Source organism: Homo sapiens, chromosome 14 (assembly GCF_000001405.40).
Source record: "Homo sapiens chromosome 14, GRCh38.p14 Primary Assembly".
NCBI lineage: Eukaryota > Metazoa > Chordata > Mammalia > Primates > Hominidae > Homo > Homo sapiens.
In genome coordinates this window covers 89,960,979-89,983,911 of record NC_000014.9, presented here as the reverse complement: position 1 = coordinate 89,983,911, position 22,933 = coordinate 89,960,979, and the positions used below count along the sequence as shown (strand labels likewise).

General features: G+C 42.0%; 1 protein-coding gene across 22 annotated transcripts in view, besides 1 other annotated feature; it reads right to left on the bottom strand.

Annotated features, from left to right (window-relative positions):
- TDP1 (tyrosyl-DNA phosphodiesterase 1) overlaps nt 1–22,933 on the bottom strand; it is an 89,797-nt gene that overhangs the window by 60,853 nt on the left and 6,011 nt on the right. For 16 of the 22 annotated variants that reach the window (XM_047431570.1, XM_011536942.4, XM_047431568.1 and 13 more), the window contains 6 exons: nt 20,239–20,804; nt 17,722–17,765; nt 16,490–16,545; nt 12,641–12,737; nt 8,097–8,131; nt 3,280–3,372 (listed from right to left, as the gene is read on the bottom strand). In XM_047431570.1, coding sequence (XP_047287526.1) covers nt 3,280–3,372; nt 8,097–8,131; nt 12,641–12,737; nt 16,490–16,545; nt 17,722–17,765; nt 20,239–20,797 — 884 coding nt within the window. In that variant the 5' untranslated portion in view covers nt 20,798–20,804. Of the gene's footprint in view, nt 1–635; nt 799–2,351; nt 2,450–3,232; nt 3,373–8,096; nt 8,132–12,640; nt 12,738–16,489; nt 16,546–17,721; nt 17,766–20,238; nt 20,805–22,933 lie in introns of all 22 variants that reach the window. The other 6 variants (XR_007064033.1, XR_007064032.1, XR_007064034.1 and 3 more) reach the window with 6 other exon arrangements.
- Nucleotides 19,837–21,036: an enhancer, noted in NCBI's record as "CDK7 strongly-dependent group 2 enhancer chr14:90429220-90430419 (GRCh37/hg19 assembly coordinates)". NCBI's record gives its function as "activates an origin of replication core promoter dependent on BRD2, BRD4, P300/CBP, MED14 and CDK7 cofactors, with strong dependence on CDK7, by STARR-seq in HCT116 cells {active_cell/tissue: HCT116}" and the evidence as "EXISTENCE:reporter gene assay evidence [ECO:0000049][PMID:35650434]".

Below are 22,933 nucleotides of genomic sequence, written 5' to 3'. Positions count from 1 at the left end.
GTGACATTACAATAACCTCAAACTTTCAACACTTAATTCACTGAAGAAGCATTACAGACATCTTTCATTTCATTAATTCTTTTTCCCTAGAGGAAAACAATGCTCTTTGCCAAAACTTCTACATTATATCCATAAATAGAAAACAATCATATCTAATCCCAATCCTTCTATAAACTGCTCCACAGTAGATTACTAAAATGGCTTCAAACCTCTTGTGCTTCAGTTTCTTCAAATGCAAAAAAGTGGGGTTAACAAGGCTGCCTCACTGGGCTGTTGCAAAGCAATGACTTACAGGAGCAGTCAAAAGTATCAGGTGTTACTTTTTTCCCCTTCTGTGGCTACTCTCCTTTTCCCCACCCTGGGTTCTATCTATTAAGCTGAAAGAGAAACTGCCCAATTTCTCTTTCACCTGGCAGCCCCTGAAGGAGACTGGCAAGATGCAGGCCACCAGGGCAGAAGGCATCCAGAACTGCAAGGACTCTCGGCCGTACATCTTCTCAACTCTGCAAGTTTCTAGCAAGGGGCATTTCATACCCCTGCTTCCCACCCTGGGGAGACACTTAGCACAGGAGGTAGCATGGTGTGATGAGGGCTGGAGCCCATGTTCTGGACCCAGATCGACTAGCTGACTATACCATTTTGGGTAAGCTCTGTGATCTCTCTGGGCCTTTGCCTCCGTGTGTAAAATGACCAGGTTGGGCTGGACAGACGTGGAGGACCTCCCCTTGCAATAGCACCTCAAAGTTCCCAGGCTGAGTGAGGCTCCTCCTGGATCAGAGATTCACTCACAGGTGAGTTCTGGATGAGAAACAAGACAAATGACTTTCTAAACTAAGATGCTGAGATATGAGGCATTTTTAACACATCACAAAATGAGAAAATTATTATAATGAGCCAAATAATTTTATTTTATTCTTTACTGTGAGCTTTGGATGCAACTCTTGTTCTAATTTTAAAAAGTGAGAAATCAACAGGTGGATCATGAGGCAGCTGAAGGGGATTAGCAGAACCACAGTAGACCAATTATGAAGTGAGATTGTATACAAAAACTGCTTTCAAAAGTTTTAAAATTACCACAAATAACATGAAATGCAAAACATTAGAGAGTAGAATATAGGCCAAGCATGAAATAATAGGATCCCACACCAGGATGGCTGCCAGAGGAAGATTTCATAGTCTTGGTACTTTCTGAGTTTTGAACCGTTCCTACCTAGTCAATAAGTTTTCCAAAATTTTAAATTAAAAAATACTTTTTTTAAATAAAAGAAACACCCAAGCCCTTATCCCTGCCTCTTCCCTCCTGGCAACCACCCCAGAGAATCCCAAGACAGTACTACTGCCTGTAAGCTAAGCTTCCAACTTCAGAAGGAGCTGGAGGCCCAGGGTGGGATTCTTGGAACCACGTGAGGCTGAGAGCTAACCTGAGAAATCCCTTTAGTAACATTGTTTCATGAGAACAAGCTACATTAATCTCATTGCCTTTTGATAGGGCCACATGAATCCCCAAACCCAATCTGGCAGCTCAGGAGAACTGGCTTAGAAGCTCTTGGGGTACCAAAGGCATAGTTAACCATAAATTCAGTAGATCAAGAAAGTGCTACAGCTGAGACTTAGAGACCAAGCAGCTATCCCCTCAACCCTGGACCAGTCAGAGCCACACTTCATTTTGAAAAGCATATTTTCAGTGGGATACTGAAAAATTATAACATGTTTATAGAAAAGCGACCAGGAATTACAGCTAGGGGTCTCAAAGCCACATGCTATGGTGGGGCAAGGGAGTGGGGAGGGAACAAGAGATGTAAGGCTCAGAAACAAGACTCCCTTTCAAACTCTGAAGGACTGCTTTAAGGGAGGGAGATTACATTTGTCCTGCGCAGTGCACTCAGGTTGAAGCAAGACCTGTTGAAGGAAACTGGAAAGCTATTTCAGCTCAAACTAAGATGTAACTTGGGGCCAGGCACGGTGGTTCATGCCTGTAATCTCAGCACTTTGGGAGGCTGAGGCAGGCGGATCACTTGGCAACTAGGCAAAACCTTGTCTCTACAAAAAATAAAGACAGTTAGCCAAGTGTGGTGGTACGTGCCTGCAGTCCCAGTTACCCAGAAGGCTGAGGTGGGAGGATCACCTGAGCCCAGGAGGTTGAGGTTAAAGTGAGCCGTGATCGCATCACAGCATTGTAACCTGGGTGACAGAGTGAGACCGTCTCAAAAAAACAAACAAAACAAAGATGTAACCTGGGCTCAGCAGAGCTTAGCTGAAAGTAATACACTCCAAATTAGGAGTTCTAGCCCAAGCTAGGCAATGATATGGGGCAGGGTGAGGCAGAGGAGGATGACAGAGAAAACGTGAACCTGGAAATGGTGCTAGACAAACGTCCGAGTTTCTCCCAACACAGAAGGCTGTTTGTTAACCAGCTCTTCTCTAGCACAGGCAGAGATGTACAAAATGGCTTAAACAAAAGAAAATTAAAGTTAGTCATAATCAAGAACAATAGCTGAACTTGTTGAGCAAATCCCTAAAGCTCCCTTTTAAAAAGCAAACCCCTCTTGAAAAGGGGATCAAAACCTGGATCTAGCATATGTGCACCAAGTACAGAGGGTTAGTAGTTTAAAAAGTTCATAAAAGCTTTCGTATTCAGTTCTTCTCTTGGAGATTCACAACTTTATTAACACACTAAAGGCTCTAAAAAGACACCAGCTTAAATTTGTTTCAAAGAAAATACACCAACTGGGGGAGTGGGGAAATATTTAGCACACTATTAACATGACCAGGCCCTACCCCAACTTTTCCTTTGATTCCTGTTTGGGAAGTGGTAAGCAAAAATACAGGTGGGTACATGAGTAAGGAGAAATCACAAAAGCTATCTGGTAAATCCTACTAGGAAAACAATAGGTTCAGATCTTTCATTCTGTAACCCCTTTTCTGCCTCAGATCTCTGCATGTGCTGTGCCCTCTACTTAGCTGTAGAGTGTATATGATGCCACTTCTCTAAAAACTAGGAAGAGACTACTGTGTGTAAATAGTAATGTATGTTTACATGTACAGCAGAGGTAGCTGTGGATGATGATGCTCCTGTTAACACTGGTTACCCCAAGAAGGTAGAATGGGGCAGGTAGTAAAAGAATACAGTAACTTTTTCTGCATACAACTCTTTTTCTAGGCCATGTGTGTTATTTTTACAACTTAAAAAAAAAATAGAAAAAAGAATAAAGTGAATGTTCTGGCTTTTGACCTTTATCAACACACACACTGCCAGGAAGTGAGCAGGCCCCTACGAACCCTTGAGTTTTCTGGTGCCAGTCAGCATGGATGAGGTTGGAGGTGTGTATGACAACCCGGAGGCCTTCTTCATAGAGCAGCAGCATCATTTTCCTTTAAAAACAGCAAAGGATCAAAAAGCATTAATAGTACTTTCAAAATATGTAATACCTTTCCAATGCAAATGTAATACATAGCTAAAGGAATTTTTTTAAACTCTCATATTACCCAAACTTAACATTTATAATCTTCCCTTCTATACATTACCATGATGAAAGTCTGCCTAAGTGATAGGATGAAAACCTTTCAGAAAGGTTGAGTATTTGGTGGTAAAAGAACTTTCAACCCTAGTGCCAGTCCTGGCACTTCACATCCCTCCAGCCTGGCCCCTTATTATCTATTCAGCATTACCTGTTACTACTAGGGACCGTTGGAACCTTCTGGTCTGGTGTTTGAGATTCAAAGTATGGTCAACAACCTCTTGCTGCATCATGGCTGGCATTTTTTAAACAACTAAAATAGCATAAATTGGTATACTGTATATATTTAATTACTGGTTCATGAAATTTTGTTTTGGCACAAAGGTATGTTAGTGCACAATACACTGAAATGTAAAGTGTATTTCTTATTATGAGTTGAAATTTTAAGAAGTTTAAAAGATGCTTCATTACCATTAGTGGTTTTTTGTATCCATAGATGCCACACTTGTCAAAAGTGTGTTATCTGGGCTTGGGGTAAGTCTTGCCTATTCTTCATTAACCCAAATCAGACTTAGTGGGGTCCACTCTTTTTCCATGTGACCTCCCCAGGCCTCTAGTCGAACACATTTCTCTTATTTTAATTGCAGTGAGAGAGAGGGAATAGGATATAGATAAAAGCTTTCCATTTGAAGTCTGAAGACCTGAGCTCCAGACTTTGTCATTTAGAAGCCCTTTGACCCTAGGTAAGCCATTCAATGTCCCCGAGCCTCAGTTTTCCACTTGTATCTCTAAGGATCAACCCCACTTCAGGACTATTGTGAGTGAAATGCAAAAATACATTTTGCTGCCAGGCACGGTGGCTCATGCCTGTAATCCCAGCACTTTGGGAGGCTGAGGCTGGCAGATCACCTGAGGTTAGGAGTTTGAGACCAGGCTTGCCAACATGGTGAAACCCATCTCCACTAAAAATATAAAAATTAGCTAGGTGTGGTCGTGGGCACCTGTAATCACAGCTACTAAGCAGGCTGAGGCAGGTGAATCAGTTGAAGCTGGGAGGCGGAGGTTGCAGTGAGCCGAGACTGCACCACTGCACTCCAGCCTGGGTGACAGAGTGAAACTCTGTCTCAAAAAAAAAAAAAAATTGTTAAATGTGAAACACTCTCACCTGTACATTCCTATTACTCCTTTGGTACACAGCTTTATTTTCTCATCTAATAATGGATGATTTTTATCTCCCTGTTGTTTTCAATAGGATTATTTCAATATTTCAGGAATCTAAGTTCTCTCTCTCCAACTAAAGTGTCACTTCTCATGGCTGTAACTCTGTCTTGACTTATTTTATCATTTCTATTGAGGCCAAAATGCTACTTAATACTTACTGATGAAACTCAATTCACACATGGCAAAAAAAAGTGAACCACTGGCTCTCTCCAAATAAACAACATGAACATTATCTGGGCAGGATGAAATTATCATAAAAAGATAAGAAAAAGGGTACGAGAAGAGACAAGAGAATGAGATATTTAGCTCTTGCCAAAACGAGAAATTAACCCAAGCTGGCAAACAGTAAATTAATGCAAAGCTGGAGAAATGACAGCTGCTGTGCCATCTTCTTTCCATTTGTGAAATGTGCTCCCTGAAATCTGGGCAAATTTACATACACAGTTGCCAAATCAGCAGCTGATTGTAATTAAGAATAAGTCAGTTATGGATTCATGATAGAACGTTTACAAATATTTCCATTAGTCAAGACATCGATTATCAGGCAAATCACACACTAATGTCAATGAATGCTATCAAATAGAATTATGAACTTGAGAGTAGCCATATTCATCTTTTCATAGACAAAATGGTAGTGTTAATAAGGTCACAGTTAAAAATGGATAGAAAAGGGTGAGGAATGAGATCTCCCTTGAAGAATGCTGACCTGCCATACTGTCTGCTAAGCTGTGAGGCAGCAAAAGGGACCCAACCCAAATGCGCAGCTATTCCTGCAAAGGGGGAAGAGAACTAACATATGGCAAGCACCTCTCTACCAGGTGCCATCCTAGAAGCTCTGTCGTATGTTACCACACCAAGTCTTCACAGCAATACAGAAGAGGAGTTATTCTCATTCTACAATTGTGGAATCTACAGCTGGACATTTAACAGGGATTATCCAAGGTCACAAAGTGGGCCAGCGGAAGAGCTTGTTGGGATCACAAATGCCAGATGCCAGGGCACTCCTTTCACCACACATGGTTTCACAGGGCTGGTGGCAGCAACGGTGAACACTTCATGCTACTGGTACAGGGGTAGGTGAGGTGGGGGGAGACATGGCCTTGGTGGGAAAGAGGACTAAATGATGCATGGTGGGGGCCTGACTACAGATCTTAGTGGAAAGAGGCATGCCTCGCCCATCCTGTGGTTTGCTACTGGCCACCACCTGGATCTGGATATTTGACATTCAGCTGCTTTGGCTTTCTCTTTCCCCTCTATCGATTCTTGGAGCCATAAGAATTAACTCTGCTCCCAGCTCTAGAGGAAACCAAAGAGCTTTCCCATTCTAAAACACTGTGAGACAGACCACGGGATTGCATGGCATCCAACCAAAACTGGACAGAGCAGGGCTTGTGTGCCAAAGTGTATGCAGTCTCAAAGACTGCCTCGTTCACTGTTTCTAGCTCTACCCTGTGAGGTGGGGAAGGCAGTTTACCCTCCATCACTATGATCTGGAAGGTGATTCTCCTTTTCTAATTCACATGTTTGTCTTGCTTCTCTCACCAAAGAAAAAGCTGTAAGAATAAAAACTCTATATCCTCTTGAGCTGTGTCAAGAACATAAGAAGTATTTAATTCTTAAAACATTTTAAAAATACGCTAGGTGCGGTGGCTCACGCCTGTAATCCCGGCACTTTGGGAGGCCGAGGCGGGTGGATCACCTGAGGTCAGGAGTTCGAGACCAGCCTGGCCAGCATGGTGAAACCCCATCTCTACTAAAAATACAAAAATTAGCTGGACGTGGTGGCACACGCCTGTAGTCCCAGCAACTCAGGAGGCTGAGGCAAGAGAATTGCTTGAACCTGGGAGGCGGAGGTTGTAACGAGCTGAGATTGCGCCATTGTACTCCAGCCTGGGCAACAGAGCGAGACTGTCTCAACAAAAAAAAAATTTTTTTTTAAATAAGCAACTAAAAGTAATTTCAAGACACGAGCTCAATCTTCTACAAGATAATGTCATTTCAACAAAATGTAAACTACAGATACTTAATTGGGAAAAGTTCAACTGTAATTACTTTCCTAGGCATTTTCTTTTGTTTTCGAGACAGGGTCTCACTCTGTCACCCAAACTGGAGTGCAGTGGCATGATCTTGGCTCGCCACAACCTCCGCCTTGCAGGCTCAAGCGATTCTCCTGCCTCAGCCTCCCATGTAGCTGGGATTATAGGCATGTCCCACTACTGCCCGGCTAATTTTTATATTTTTAGTAGAGATGGGGTTTCACCATGTTGGCCAGATTGGTCTCGAACTCCTGATCTCAAATAATCCACCCACCTTGGCCTCCCAAAGTGCTGGGATTACAGGCATGAGCCACAGCGCCCAGCCTCCTAGGCATTTTAAACTCTGAATTAAGAGCTCTTGGCCAGGCATGGTAGCTCACACCTGTAATCCCAACACTTGGGGAGGCAGAGGAGGGTGGATCACCTGAGGTCAGGAGTTTGAGACCAGCCTGGCAAACATGGTGAAACCCCGTCTCTAATAAAAATATAAAAGTTAGCCAGGTGTGGTGGCAGTGGCCTGTAACCCCAGCTACTTGGGAGGCTGAGGCAGGAGAATCGTTTGAACCCAGGAGATGGAGGTTGCAGTGAGCCAAGATTGTGCCACTGCACTCCAGGCTGGGCAACAGAGCGAGACTCTGTCTAAAAAAAAAAAAAAAAAAAAAAAAAAAAGAGCTCTGTTGAGTTTAACCTGCAAAGTATGTGTGTAGGAGCGAGGGGGTAGTGGTGAATGGACCAAAGGAAATAATAAGGTAAATTTTAGCAATGAGCAAACAAGAACAAATTTAAAGCTAAAGTTAATGCCAGCACAGGGGCTCATGCCTGTAATCCCAGCACTTTGAGAGGCTAAGGCAGGAGGTCTGTTTGAGTCCAGGAGTTCGAGATCAGCCTGGGTCACAAAGTGAGACCCCTGTCTCTACAAAAAAATTAGCCAGGCATGGTGGCGTGTGCCTGTAGTCCCAGCTGCTCGGGAGGCTGAGGTGGGAGGATTGCTTAAGCCCAGGAGTTGGAGGCTGCAGTGAGCTGTGATCATGCCACTGCACTCCAGTCTGGGCAACAGAGTGAGACCACATCTTGAAAAATTGTGTGTATATATTAATTAAAGTTAGAATAAATAGGTTCTATTCCTGTCTCCACTACTGGCCCAAGGAAAAATCACATACCTAAACCTGGGCCTCAGTTTCCTGATCTATAAAATTAAAAGGAAAGACCAAATAATTTTTATAAGAGCATTAAATAAAAGAATAGCTCCCCCAGGCTCAGTTAAGCATCGCTGTGCTAGATCCTAGGTGGGCCTACCATGCTCAGTCTCTCCTAAGAATAACCGTGTAATGGACAAATGACAATGCTTGAGGGGTTCCCCTATTTCACAAAAAGTGCTTACGTGTGGTGTGTTCCAAACGCAATATCCAACTTTGCCTAGGATGAAAAAGAAGTCATTTATTTAAAAACAACTCACTAATATCCATATCTACTGGAAATTACATTAGAAAGCAATCAGGTCAACTTTTTTTTTTAAAACTATTTTTACTGATCTCTACCAGGCAAGCCCTTGAATAACAAGACAGCTTTTATAATAGCATCTGGGGACGCTCATTAAAAAAAAAAAAAAAAAAAACACAAATTTTGTTACCCAGAATGATTATACACTACAGAATATATACTACATTTTTAATTACAGTAATTAGGACTGAGAAGCCTAAATTCTTTAGTTGACAAAAAACTAGTAAAACAAGTGAGTCTCTATGCAAAGTTTTAGATATTTGGCTTATACAGAAATTAATGGTACACAGTTTTCAGAGCATATTTAAAAGAAACACTGAAGGCCAGGTGCGGTGGCTCACGCCTGTAATCCCAGCACTTTGGGAGGCTGAGGCGGGCACATCACGAAGTCAGGAGATGGAGACCATCCTGGCTAACGCAGTGGAACCCCGTTTCTACTAAAAATATGAAAAAATTTGCCAGGCGTGGTGGCCAGCGCCTGTAGTCCCAGCTACTTAGGAGGCTGAGGCAGGAGAATGGCGTGAACCCAGGAGGCAGAGCTTGCAGTGAGCTGAGATAGCGCCACTGCACTCCAGCCTGGGTGACAGAGCGAGACTCCGTCTCCAAAAACAAAAAAAGAAACACTGAAAGTGGTGGCAACATAAAGACTTAGGATGTTAAATTAAAATAGAAATGTTCTTATATTAGCATAGCAAGTGCTGAAAATAAAAACATATGAAATCCATTTTCATGTTATAAAATGACACCTTTACAAACTAATGGAGGGTATGTATATAGAAAACATGTTATCTAATACCCACTAATGCCAGATCTTGGTTAAGCAGAATATGTCACAAGATGCAGATTATGAAAGAGTTTAAATAACCGTAAAAGTTTCACAATTAGGAACGCAGTACATGGGCTCAAATCCTGCCTTCACAACTTTGTATGACTCTGGAAAATACATCTAACTCTATGCCTCAGCTTTCTCCTCTTTAAAACGGTACCATTCTGAGATCCAGAGTTGTCAGGAACGAGATCACATATGTAAAATGCTGAGCAACGGGGGCCTGCATGCAATAGGCACTCTATAATCGTGGCAATCACTACTGCAACCTCTCCCCACTACCTACCCCAGCCTCCTTACCACATGACATGGGTGAAACTTTGCTGGGGGCAGTAATGGGCGACTGGAATACACAGGTGAGTTACAACACAGCTCCTGTTTGGAATGGAGATGCTCACAGACCAGCATGCATCTGTGCATTCTGGCCACAGAAGAAAGTGCAGGGAACTCTATTTCATGTTTTCAAAATTACCAAATGAGAAGGAAGACTGCCACTCTATAAACTGATATTTAGCTGAGAAAGAACAATGGTCAAGAGACCTGGCTTTTGTTTCGTTTGCTAAAAGTTACATGCTTCTGGGTAAGTCTAAGCACAAAAAACAAGGATAATAGCTTCAATAGATATTGTTTACTGGGTGCTGTTTTTGGGCTAGTGCACCAAGTCCTTTAGTAAACTCTAGGATGAACAGCATTAGCAATCAATTTCAAAGATAAAGAAATTAGGTGACAAGCCAGTGACAAGCCCAGAATAAGTGTTGTAGACTAAACACTTCTGTCCCCCACCAAATTCATATGTTGAAGCCCCAACTTCCAATGTGACTATTTGCAGAGAGGGACTTTATGGAGGTAATTAAGGTTAAATGAGGTCATAAGGGTGGGATCCTGATCCAACAGGACTGCTGTCCTTATACAAGAGCTACCAGACAGCCTATGTGTCTGTCTTCCTCCCTCTCCCTCATGAGGACACCGTGAGAACGTGGCCATCTATAAGCTGGCAAGAGAGCCCTCACCTGGAACTGAACTGACTGGCACCTTGATCCTGAATTCCCAGCTTCCAGAACTGTGAGAAATAAGTGTCTGTTGTTTCAGCGACCCAAGTCCAAGAAAAGTCACCCAGGTAATTTTGTTATAGCACCCAAGCAGACTAATACACACACGTAGAGCCGGGACTGAGCCCAGGCAATGTGACTCTGACCACCACAAGGTCTCAATGTCTGCCCTTAGGTCCCACATTTGCAAAATGGGAGAGGGTCAGCAGCCACCGATTCTCTGACTAATGTGTCTCAGTTTCAATGACTCACGTTGCTAGAAAAAGACTTTATCTTACAGACAAGGTATAAAGGTGCTTCAAGAGATCAGGAGGACACAATCCTGTACGTCAGCCTAGAGTTGGGAGCTTCTTCACAGCTCTTTCCAAGAGGTTTGGAAGAAGTGGCTCACTATGCCCTCTGGTGGCCAGCCTGGAACACACTATCAAGCACAGGAACCACTCTCCTAAACGAGCACAGGTAGGTAATATTTGAAAAAGACTTTATTTCCATTCATTTAGTCACTGGTTTTCAGGATTTCTGTGTCAGTTTACTTTCTGCCCACTATAAGGTTTGATGGGAGCTATCCTACTGCAGTATAACCTCTTATGTTGCTGGAAATAGAAGCAAAACAATGGAATTTTGGCAACTGCGAAGCAAAGGCACATCTATGGGCATGAGATGAGCCCATGTTGGATAGAAGGCATTTTTAAAATGACAACTCTATAAAGTGCAGTGGGTTAAATCATAAGGAAAATGTTGTGAGGTATGTTTAAACTAACAAGATTGAGCTCTTGTACTGTATTAATCTTAAAAAAATACAAAGATATCATATATAGTTGGAAAAAGAGTGATACAATATGAGTTGGAATTCTTACATCTTTGTGGATGGGGAAAAAAGACACTAGAAGGAAAATGAGAAAAAAAATCCAGAAAGGATGTAATTCACTCTGTCTCTGTACTTGCAGAGCAGAAATCTTTTGCCAATTTCACTAAGCTAACGATAAGGAAAGAAAAGGGCTATAAAAAGCATCTTTCGTGTTTTCTCATAACAAACGAATACAGCCAAAAGAAATAGGAAAAGGTGACTATTACACCAGCTACTTCATAATCACCATTTCTATAGGAAGTAGTTATCATAAATGTGAGAAATTCTTCTGTATTCCTTGTTTTCCTTTCTACTTTGCATGTTTCTTGCTCAAAATGCGCCACGTGTAATAGAAGATCTTTTTAGATGATGAGTCTAAAGAAATGGATCCTAATGAAAGTCCAAGACTCACTGGCCACATTGTATGCTAACTGCAAAGTATTAGGACAAAATTATGGGAATATATAAAGAAACTGGGCAATAACCGTTTCTTGGCCTTTGATATGGTTTGGGTCTATGTCCCCACCCAAATCTCATCTCAAATTATAATCCCCAATGTTGGAGGAGGGGCCTGGTAGGAGGTGATTGGATCATGGGGGTGGACTTCCTCCTTGCTGTTCTCGTGATAGAGAGTTCTCATGATATCTGGTTGTTTGATAAAAGTGTGTAGCTCTTCCCCCTCTCTTCCCTCTTGCTCCGGCCAAGTAAGATGTGCCTGCTTCCTCTTCACCTTCTGTCACAATTGAAAGTTTCCTGAGGCCTCCTCAGCCATGCTTCATGTACAGCCTGCAGAACCGTGAGCCAATTAAGCCCCTCTTCTTTATAAATTACCCAGTCTCAGGTATGTCTTCATAGCGGTGCAAGAACAAACTAACATAGCTTTCTTTTCTGCTTTGCTTTGGTCCTAGCAAACCAAGTGGATATGCCTGTTACAAGACCACTTAATGTCTCCACATTGGACTTAGATCATACACAGCATACGACTCACATAGTTTCCTAACAGTTTTTTAATCTATGGGTCTCTCCTGTTTAGACCTTAGATGCAACTCATGTGAAAAAAAAAGAACTACAGTTGAAGGACTACCGTTGAAGTGTCAATGGCAGCTAATATAAGTTACATAAGGTGTCACAAAAAACTACAAGTTTTAAGTTGCACTCACAGGATACTCACAAAAAGAAACCCACAGCCACTGAACTACATCCAGAGGACCTATTCAGTGTTGAAACCCAGGTTTCAACAGGCATACTGACAAGCTACATGCAACCAGGGGAGCACTAGCAGGTTGCGGAAAGACTCAGAATCCATACTACATTGAGTAAAACTGAAGAAAGAGAATGTTTGAATTAAAGAGAGAAAACGAAGGGAGACAGGACAGATCACTTTAGATATATGAATCACTGACATGTGTAAGATGAAAGACTTACTTATTCTGTGTGGCTCCAGAAGGGGAAAATTAAGACCAATGAGTAGAAATTAGTAAGAAGACTTCAGGCCCACAAAAAGAAAAACCTTTCCAACCCTGAGGAGTACTATGAATGGGATGCTCTATCTCAGGAAGTGTTTAAGCTGAGGCTAGACAAATATCTATTGATGACTGATGCTGGAGAGAGGATTTCTGCACTAAGTGAGAGGGTGGACTAAATGTCTAAGTTTCCTTCTAACTCAGACTACGCGTGCTCTCCAACGGCAGTAAGTGGCTTACCTGGCAGAGAGAGATGTTCTCGTAAGGCTTGGCCTGGGCATGGAGGTGAGCCTTAGCCTCTCGCTTATCACCATGCACAAGCAGGATTGGCTTCTTCCTAAAAAGAGAGCATTAGTATTTAATATACATCATTCATGGCCAGGCTCAGTGGCTCACACCTGTAATCCCGGCACCTTGGGAGGCCGAGGCAGGTGGACTACCTGAGGTCAGGAGTTCGAGACCAGACTGGCCAACATGGTGAAACCCCGTCTCTACTAATACAAAAATTAGACAAGGCATGGTTGTGCGTGCCTGTAATCCCAGCTACTCTGGGGCTGAGGCATGAGAATCGCTTGAACCTGGGAGGTGAAGGTTGCAGTGAGCCGAGATTGAGCCACTGCACTCCAGCCTGGGTGCCAGAGCAAGACTCTGTCTCAAAAATAAATAAATAAATAAATAAATTAATTAAAATACATCATTCATGAAGCTGGACTCGCCTCATTAAGGAATGCTAGCTTCCTTATCACTCGATATGTTTCCGGCCTTTGTAGTTGAATGAAGACAGGGCTAACACAGAGCAGTGAAAAGCTAATGTTCATTTACCAGATACCTTTATAATGGGGCTACATGGCCTGATTCTGCAGCTCTGTTGTAATACAGAGGGGTAATGACTCAAGAAAGTCCTTGAATAATTATCTTCTTTGGCCCAAAACGGCACATAAGTAGTTCTGTGTTAAAATATTTAAGTCCAAATAAATTAAAGATATATAATAATTATTATATAATATAGTGCTTTTTGCTTTTTCTTTTGGACCACACGGTGGATTCATTTCACACCACATCTATATTCACCAAACTCCTCCTGTGTGCTATGTACTGAGCTAGACCCAGGATACAACAGAGAACAGGCCCAGGCCAGGCCCACAGCATGACGCAGCTTCACTAATGGGTGGTTAGATTTCAATGAAACAGAGCCCAAGCTACGTTGAAAATGCTATATTTTTGAATTCCAAATATAATATAAAAACACTCTTCAAGAATACATTAAAAAGGCTTTTGAGGGATTCTTGTTCTGATTAACTCAAAGCAAGATAATCCTTAGAAATAAGTATATTTCGGCCAGGCGCGGTGGCTCACGCCTGTAATCCCAGCACTTTGGGAGGCCGAGGCGGGCAGATCACGAGGTCAGGAGATCGAGACCATCCCGGCTAAAACGGTGAAACCCCGTCTCTACTAAAAATACAAAAAATTAGCCGGGCGTAGTGGCGGGCGCCTGTAGTCCCAGCTACTTGGGAGGCTGAGGCAGGAGAATGGCGTGAACCCGGGAGGCGGAGCTTGCAGTGAGCCGAGATCCCGCCACTGCACTCCAGCCTGGGCGACAGAGCGAGACTCCGCCTCAAAAAAAAAAAAAAAAAAGAAATAAGTATATTTCTACAAGCTCTCCCAACACAACAAAAATTGGATATAAGCAATCAAGAAAGATAAACAACCGACCCACTTCCACATTTATCAATCACACTGCAGAATGATTCTCTACCATTCACAAAGGAACAACAATCAACTAGAGAGAAACATCTATTTCCAGTACTAATACCTCACTACCTCTTGCCCAATAGCTTTATTCTAACATGACAGGTAAAATGAAACTATGAAACACGCACCTGTGATTTTTAGAAATTAGGTAAGAAAAACAGAATAATGTAAGAAACACACGTGCATCTAGCACCTAGAAATAAAAAATGTTAGATCAAGTCATGTTATTAAAAAGATTAAATATGACTGATAGAAACTGAAGTCCTCATTAATTCTTTCAAATTTATTGGTTCTACGACTTATTACAAAAAGATGGCACCTGAACAATAGCATACTGAGGTATAAATCCTTATGATCTGAATTTTTCTACATACAAATTCTGGATGTTACTTAAACTTACCATTTAGGTCACTCCTCATCCTTCTAAGGCTCGTAATAGCCTTCCCAAGATGCATTTGGCAATAAGGGGATGCAGGGAGAAGGAGGACACTTTCGTCCCTTTAGTTACTGAGAGTCCAGTGGATACTGTATTAGTGTGCCAGGGCCTCCAAAACAAAGCACCACAAACTGGGAGGCTTAGACAACAGCAATATATTGTCTCACAGGTCTGGAGGCGAGAAGTCCAAGATCAAGGTGCTGGCAGGATTGGTTCCTGAGGCTGTGAGGCACATCTGTTCCAAGCCTCTCTCCCAGCTTCTAGGAGCTTGGCTTGTAAATGGCGTTCTGTGTCTTTACATGGTCTTATCTCTGTCTCTGCACCCAAATTTCTCTTTTTATAAGGACACTAGTCATACTGGATTAATGTCCATCCTAATGCCTTCATTTTATCTTGATTACCTTTGTAAGGGCTCTATCTCCAAATAAGATCACATTCTGAGGTACTGAGGCTTAGGATTCCAACAGATCTTTTTTGGGGGTGAGATAATTTAACTCATAACAGATACAAAGGAACTGCAGTCTGCACTTTGCCAACACTCTAATGGGGTGACAGTTTGATTTCAAGGTCTTTAAGAAAAGGGAGGAAGAACAGAAAATGCCAATGTGACACCCAAGGATACTACTGCGAGGAGGAGCCAAGGCAGAAACTGCTTGTTGCCTCCAGACAGCCATTCTCTCCTCCTTCCCTAACAAAAGGCTAATTCAGGAAAAGGTGTGCTAAGCTAAAAGACATTTCTAGCCTCTTTTACAGCTGGTTAGCATGCAGCTGAGCTCTGCTCAATGAAATAGATGCAGGTGTTGTGTGGGACTTCCAGGAAGGCTGCTTAGATGGGCATAGCTAGAATGTGGGCCTTTTTGTCCTTTTCCTCCTTTCCCCTTCCTGCTACCTGGAATAGATGAGTAAGCTGGAGCTCTAGCTGCCATACTGGGCCACGAGGTGACTCTGAAAACTGAAGTCACATACAAGGATGGTGGAACAGAAAGGGTAGGTGGATAAGTCTCTGAGAACCCTGGTGCCCCCATCTAGACCATAAATGTTTACCATCTGAATGTGTCACGCTGGAAACAATTTGTCTTATTTAAGCCATTGTTATTTTGAATATTCTTTTACATGCAGCTAAAACTAATTCTGTGTGTTACAGGTCAAAAAAAAAAAAAAAAGCCCCAAGTGCCAAAGCTGCTTGAAAAATTTTAACAGCATTTTATCTACTGTTAATGTCAAAGGTTTCCACAATCTGATGCCCTAAATGTACCAAGAATTTTGAGGACCCTGACAATCATTATTTCTTGTGTGTTTTCCTCCATCCTACTTGCTGTTATGGGAATCTGCCCCGTAAATGTGTTAGAAATAGGGAAGGGTGGCACCTGTGTGATGCCCTATTTGGTCTGTATTGCCTAACATGAGGCTGATGAAGTGCAGGCAGAAGGCCTAAAAATCCATCACCTCCAGAGCCTAGATAAGGGAAGGCCACAGATAAGCCTCCTTTCCTCATCTCAGAAACACAAAGGGATCCTCAAAACAGAACAGAATTGATGTGCTACGGAAAGCATGGCACGTTGGCGGCATGTTGGCACATTCACAGATCTAGAAGGTATGTGGAGATGGTATTTTCCTTCATATTAAGACTGGACATGAAATTCTGTTATTTGAGTTAAAGCCTGTCCTTATCTACTTCCTGAAAGAGCACAGAGGAAAATGCTAAAATCCGTAAAAAGAATGTGTAGGATTAAATAGATCAAAGAATGCTGTTTTCCGGATATAACTTAATGTCTGTGTGATTTCAACAGTTTCAAAAGAAAAACTCAAAAGATGAGTGGCTTTCACCTGAGAAATACAAATCTTAGGTGTCAAAGCCCCTTTACAGTTTATAGTGTTGTCTGTCACCCTGAGGAACTCACCTGAACTCTGGTGGATACTGTTTTACGAGCCAGTCCACGTCAAAGCAGTAGTTAAACTAGATGGGAGAAAAGAAGAGTAACTAAGCCATAGGTAATTCTGCCAAACAGTTCATAAGGAGAATTGTTTAGTTATTACATTTAAGGAAACTCTAAAATAGTGATACACTACATGTATTATTTATAAACCTGGAGGGTTATGCTGCAATACTAACAAACCTATAATTTATCTTAAATGCATGGTTAAAAGAACCTAAATGGAGCCAAGTACATGAGATAACAGGTTCCCAGGAAATTATCTCTGCATGTTTTGGCAGCATCTGTACTTGTCCGCAGGGTGTTATTACATTATGTCTAATGGCCCTGAGATTAATTTAAATAAAAGGATTTATAAATTTATCCCTTTTCCCCTAGGTGATTATAAAAAGACAGATACTGGAGACAAAGATCCCAGGACTTTCAGAAAAGAACATTTCCTTTCAGGCTAACTTATTAGCTAGCTTTGTACACAGCCACCTGGGACCAGACATTCACTAGGCTTCTAACAATTACATCTTAAATGCAAGTTCTGTACTGGTCTTACCCGTGGAGGCTCCTCCCCATACCTGGGTAATCCTGGACTTAGTAACTCAGTCGAGCTAACAGGGCATTTGCAAATGCTCCCCACCTTCCAAATGGAAACCAGGACTTTCAATGCCAAACCAAACATAAAGGAAGCCTGCCTTTCTTCAGGGACAGGGCCCTTTGGACCACTTACTTGTGGGTCTGGACCATTACATGATTTATCAAGACAAAGGGACTAGCTCAGTCAGGAAGGAGCCACTGAACATGAAAATTCACATTTTTCTAAATTAAATCAAACTTGACTTGGCCTTCACCACTCTATCCATACCTCACCACTCTATGCACCAGAGTTAACTCAGTCCCATGAGTTAATCAGTATCCCCAAAAGAAGTGTCCCATTCTAGTCTTTCAAGCTGGAATGTCCAAAGTGACTTCTTGGCCAGCGGAGGCTGACTTGAGTCAAATGCTCTCCTGATAGTGACATCCCCATTCTATGTTGATGGCCATGGATCTCATTACTGTGGCACTTGAGCCAGCCTCCAGGTATGTGCCATCTCAGTCTTTGAACAGGACTGAGATCCCCAAACTATGCCTCTCATATTTTCTTATGGAGTTGTTTAATTACCTGTCTACTTTCACCCAAAGAAAAAACAGCTTAAAGGTATACTCACCTGAGCTGAAGAAACAAGCGTCCCAAATAAAGGAGATAAAATATCTGAGAAGACAAAACATATATCAAATTCACACTCACAAAAATCCTCTAGTCATAATAATCACTACTAACTCATTCAACAGTCACTGACAATCAAGATCTGACTCAGAACACAGTAAGCTAAACAGTTACTACAAAGTCAGACTTTAATGTTTCATAAAATTCAAAAAAAATTTCCCTATGGTATTTAATATTTATCATACATTCTTTTATAAAACAATGCAAAACCAAAATCTACAACTTCAGTACTGAATGATTGATCAAGTTTAGAAACTCAATATGGACAATAATGATACATATTCTTTTCAGATCTCTGAACTTCTACCTCCTCCAAGTACCCATTCAAGTCCCTCTCCAGGAAATCTCCCAACTCAAGACTAGAAAAACTTTCTAGAAAGATTTTATAAATGTGGACAGTTTAGAAAGACTTTCCAGAAAGACTGGAAAGCACCTGTGGCCTGTGAATGAAAGGACAGAGGCACTCACAATTATCAACTCACATTCCTGGTGTTCCTGGTCATCTCTAGGGAAGTCTCACTTTGTACCCATTCAAGCTTTATGTTAGGTAAGTTGAAAGCTCACTTCTCAAACCATACCACGAGAGCAAGTACACCATCATCGTGACCTTCCATTACAACAGCCACATCTGTGGAGACCTGTTAGATGCCAGGCAGCACTCTTGGCACTTCCCATCCATTACTTACTCCTCATATCCATTTTCTAGGTGGGGTCTGTTATTTCTATTTTATATCGGAGGAGCCTTCTTAGGAGGCTGCCCACAGACACACAGCTAGAAAGGGGTACAGTCGGGGTTTGAACCTAGGCTGTCTGGCTCCAGCACCTTCGCTCATACCCACTAAACTGCCTCTGAGAATTAAGACTGGCTCATTCATTTGGCAAATATTTCCTGAGTGCTTCCTATCTTCTGGACATTGAGCTAGATGCTGGGGTAGAACGATTTTCAGAGAACAACAACAAAAAAATTGTTAAGGAAGGTTCTACCTTATTGGGAGAGTTGCAGAGATAAACTGCAAATATTCTTCCATTTGCCCCCACCAGCATGTATTTCTTCCCTTCTAAATTTTACCCATCTTTCAAAGGCCTTTTGAAGTCCCCCTTCCTCCATGAGATCTTCTAAGCCATCTACAATTATGGCACATGGTAGAGTGCTATAGCAAACAGCATGGATTCTGATGCCAGAATGTCATTACCAGCTCTACGACCTTGGGCACTTTTCTAAAGTGCAGATGCATCATTTATCCAAGGAATACGATTGTAACATCTACTCATAAGACTGTCCTGAGGATTAAAGGAGAAAATATATGTAAGAGCTCCTATCATGTTACCACAATACCTTGGTGCTAATTGCCGGTTATTTTATTATATAGAGCAAAACTTGGCAAAATTCTCTAAATATTTGTCAGTCTGTCTCAAACAAACAAAAAACTTGACAAAGTACCAAGATAAGAGATTCTCAAAAAGAAAACAACCTGTAGAACACTCTACAGTATGAAATACTCCAACATGTATACATCACACACAATATACAATTATATACTGGATATATAAAAAAAGAACAACACTGCTGACAGTGAACATTACTATTCTTAAATATGGGACAGGAAAAAAATCTGAAATAAGGGTAATAATGTTTATTGTATCTGCCATGTGAATATATTACACTGGTTACTTCATATATTTGCTCCCATTTTTCTGCATTTCCAGTTTAAAGATGAGCAAACTAAAATTCAGAGAATGTTAGGTCCTGTGTTAACAATCCATACAGCAAATGAGTGGTGAGGCCAGAAAGCAGATTCTAGAGCTCCTGCTCTTCCTCCTGCAGGTGCTCCCTGAGGAATAAGGAGAGCAAACTAAGGCCATCTTTTGATCCATAACTGAAACATCTATTTGCACTCAGGCACTATTTTGTTTTTTCTTCTTCTTCTTCACCAGGAACTAAAACCAGGCTTTTAAGCAGTGGTTCTCAAACTTGACTGGGCAGTAGAATCCCCTCAAGGGCTCGTGAAAACACAGACTGCAGGATCTCACCCTCAGAGTCCAATTTAATGAATCGGGAATGGGGCCCGAGAATTTGCATTTTAACAAGTTGCAGGTGATGCTGAGGCTGCTGGTCCAGGGCCCATGGAGAACTACTACTGTTGTCAAGTATTTGCTACCTTGTTGATAAACTGTTACTCATCAAGCTTCATCTTAAAAAGTTAAATAATGCTAAACATCGTGCTAAGTGATATAAGGGGTTGAGCTACAGGGTTTTGAGAACACACGCTCTGCCTGAGTTAAGTAAACAGTCTGCTGTTATACTAATGCACTTGCCTGTCAAGAATTTTTTTCCTGAAAGTAGTTAAGAACACAAAGAAGAGTTCTCAGAAACTATTCTAGGCTGCCCTCCTTGTTTCACGGAGGAGAGACTCTCAAGGGCAATTCAACAGCTCCTTGACACCCAGCATCCTCTTACCCTTGATGTGGAGGGCTCCAGAGTTATACTTTGGCTTAACTCCAGAGACTCTAGTGAGGTAAAACTGGAAGGGGTTCCCTTTATCCAGCATGTCCCAAATGTCCTGGCCCTCCCCTGATGTCTCATACTCGTCTTCCTCCTCTTTGAGCCTGTGGCAGGCGGGAGCGCCATGATTTTCAGTTCTTTGGGCAGTGCCGTCATTGGGAGCAGAGATGTCTTTCTCCTTTTTGATCACCACTTTCTCAGCCTGCTTCTGCGGCATTTCTGGTTGCAGCTCATCATCACTGCTGGACAGACACCAGCCGAGGTCCTCCTGGGAACCGCTTTTCTGCCTTTTGGGAGGTAAAACTGAATCTGTATTGCTGAATTTCACAGGTGATATTTTCCTCTTGTGTGCAGCTTTCTGGGCCTCGGAACAGGTGTACCTGGGCTCATTTGCTGCTCCTTGCCTGGCACAGAGAAGAGAAGAGGTAGATGGCTTGTCTGGTTTTGGCTTTTCTTCCTCACTTTCATCACTACTAGATATGGTCCACCTCCCATAATCGCCTTCCTGAGACATTATACTCCTGGAAATGAAAAGTGGAAACATCAGCATTTCCCATTCATCAGGGCATTGGCAAAATAACTTTATTGCTCTCAACTTCCCTGTCAGATGAGCTGACACCTTCCAGAGGCTGAACCACCTAACATCAGCTGCTTTTTGGGTGTTTATAAGCACATTACCAGAATCCACTATCAGATTCTGCCAAATCACAAGCAAAAGTCCTGGTCACCTTTCTTTTTTCTTCCTTTTTTTTTTTGAAACAGGGTCTCGCTCTGTCACCCAGCTGGAGTGGTGCAGTGGTTCAATCTCAGCTGACTGCAACATCTGCCTCCTGGGCTCAAGCAATCCTCCTGCCTCATCCTCTCGAATAGCTGGAACTACAGGTGCACGCCATCACGTCTGGCTAATTTTTTTTTTCTTTTTTTTTGGTAGAGACAGGGTTTCATTATTGTTGCCCAGGCTGGCCTTGAACTCCTGGACTCAAGAGATCCACCCACCTTGGCCTTCCAAAGTGCTGGGATTACAAGTATAAGCCACCATGCCTGGCCTTGGCTTTCAATCTAAACTTTGTTCTTAGATGTCCTAGGAAAGGGGGTTGAAGAATGCATCAAGACAAATGCCAAAATAAAACAAACATTCATTCTTGACCCCGAAACTTCCAATAAGCGTTTGGGATTAAGGTCCATTTAATCTATGTTCAAATGCTTAAGGTCAAATTGGAATTTACAAACCTAGCCTTCACCCAAGTACAGGCACCCACAGGACTTCAGTGATTATGTATGTCTTACTTCCCAAAAGACAACCCATTTACCATAAAGCTTAACAAAGTCTTCAAGAGGAAAGCCAAATGACCACTTAGGTATGTACATTATTTACACTACTTCCATGAGGACCCAACTAATTATAATTAGTTGGATATAATTATATCAAGATATAATTATCCTATTGGCTACATCATAAATCTACTAACACCTACACAGAAATAACTTGTACTGAAGCAACACACTTTTATTTTTTAAGCCCCACAGTCAAATTCTACTTTCTTGTTCTGAGAACAGGAAAGTACACGAAACAGTCACTTTTGCTGTTACCTACCAAATCTTGTCAATTCAGTGGTAAAGGACTATCTAAGTAGACTTTCCAGACAGCTAAAGAACAGTTCCTCAATGTGATACTTTTAACATTTTAGCACAAGACCCAGGGGAAAATTACAAAACTCAGTAGTCTGTGCTCAGATCAACAGTATCTTCGAGTTTCTGCTGTTTTAATGAGGCTGGAAAAGATGCATTGAGTGGAGTAAACCAAGATGGTGACACTCCCTTCACAAAACCTACATTCCCCAAAAAAGAGAATTCAACATTATTCTACATCAAAAGATTTGCAAATCAATACATATGCATATGTCTCTAGATGAGAACTAAAAATAAAAATCTTGGCTAAGGGGACCCCAGAGAAACCTTAAAAACTGAGTTCCGGGCCATGATGAGATGGGAGCTCAGACATGCCTGTTATATCCCCTCCCTTCTGCGGTTTAAACACAACTGACCAGAGATCGTAAGACTGGCAGAATAGATTCTGTGACAATATGACACTAAATCATAAACAAGACCTAAGGCCATGCCAAGCAAGGGTTAAATCACACACTGCTACCTTTAAACTATGTTCTACCTTCCACAAGGTTCTTTTTTCTTCAGCAGCTAAATAAGCACTGGCCTAGAGATAAGGAATATCTAAACAATTGCAGCTCACCTACTGCCAGATGCTTGACTAACTGACCCCTCTGGTTCCACAGGCCATGACTGCAGCTGTCATTGGACAATGGAGTAACTTTCTCCTGAAAAGAAACCACAGACTGGTTCTGACCAGTCCTCAGAGGCTGAGCACTGAGTGCCTTCATGTCTCTCCTTCACCTTTTGACAGAGGGCCTAATTGTAATTCATTCAAATGTTAAGTCTCCATCCCAAAGTGAACACGAGATGCACAAAACACACGTTTGCTCATTACACATGCACACGTGTCCCCCCTTGGTGAATATTCATAGCTCCTCCCACACCTGTTGAATACTATACTTGGCCAACCCATTCAGTATAAATCTCTGTTCTACCCTCTCCTCCCTGGGATGCCATTAAAGGTCTCTGCCTGAGGCTGTGC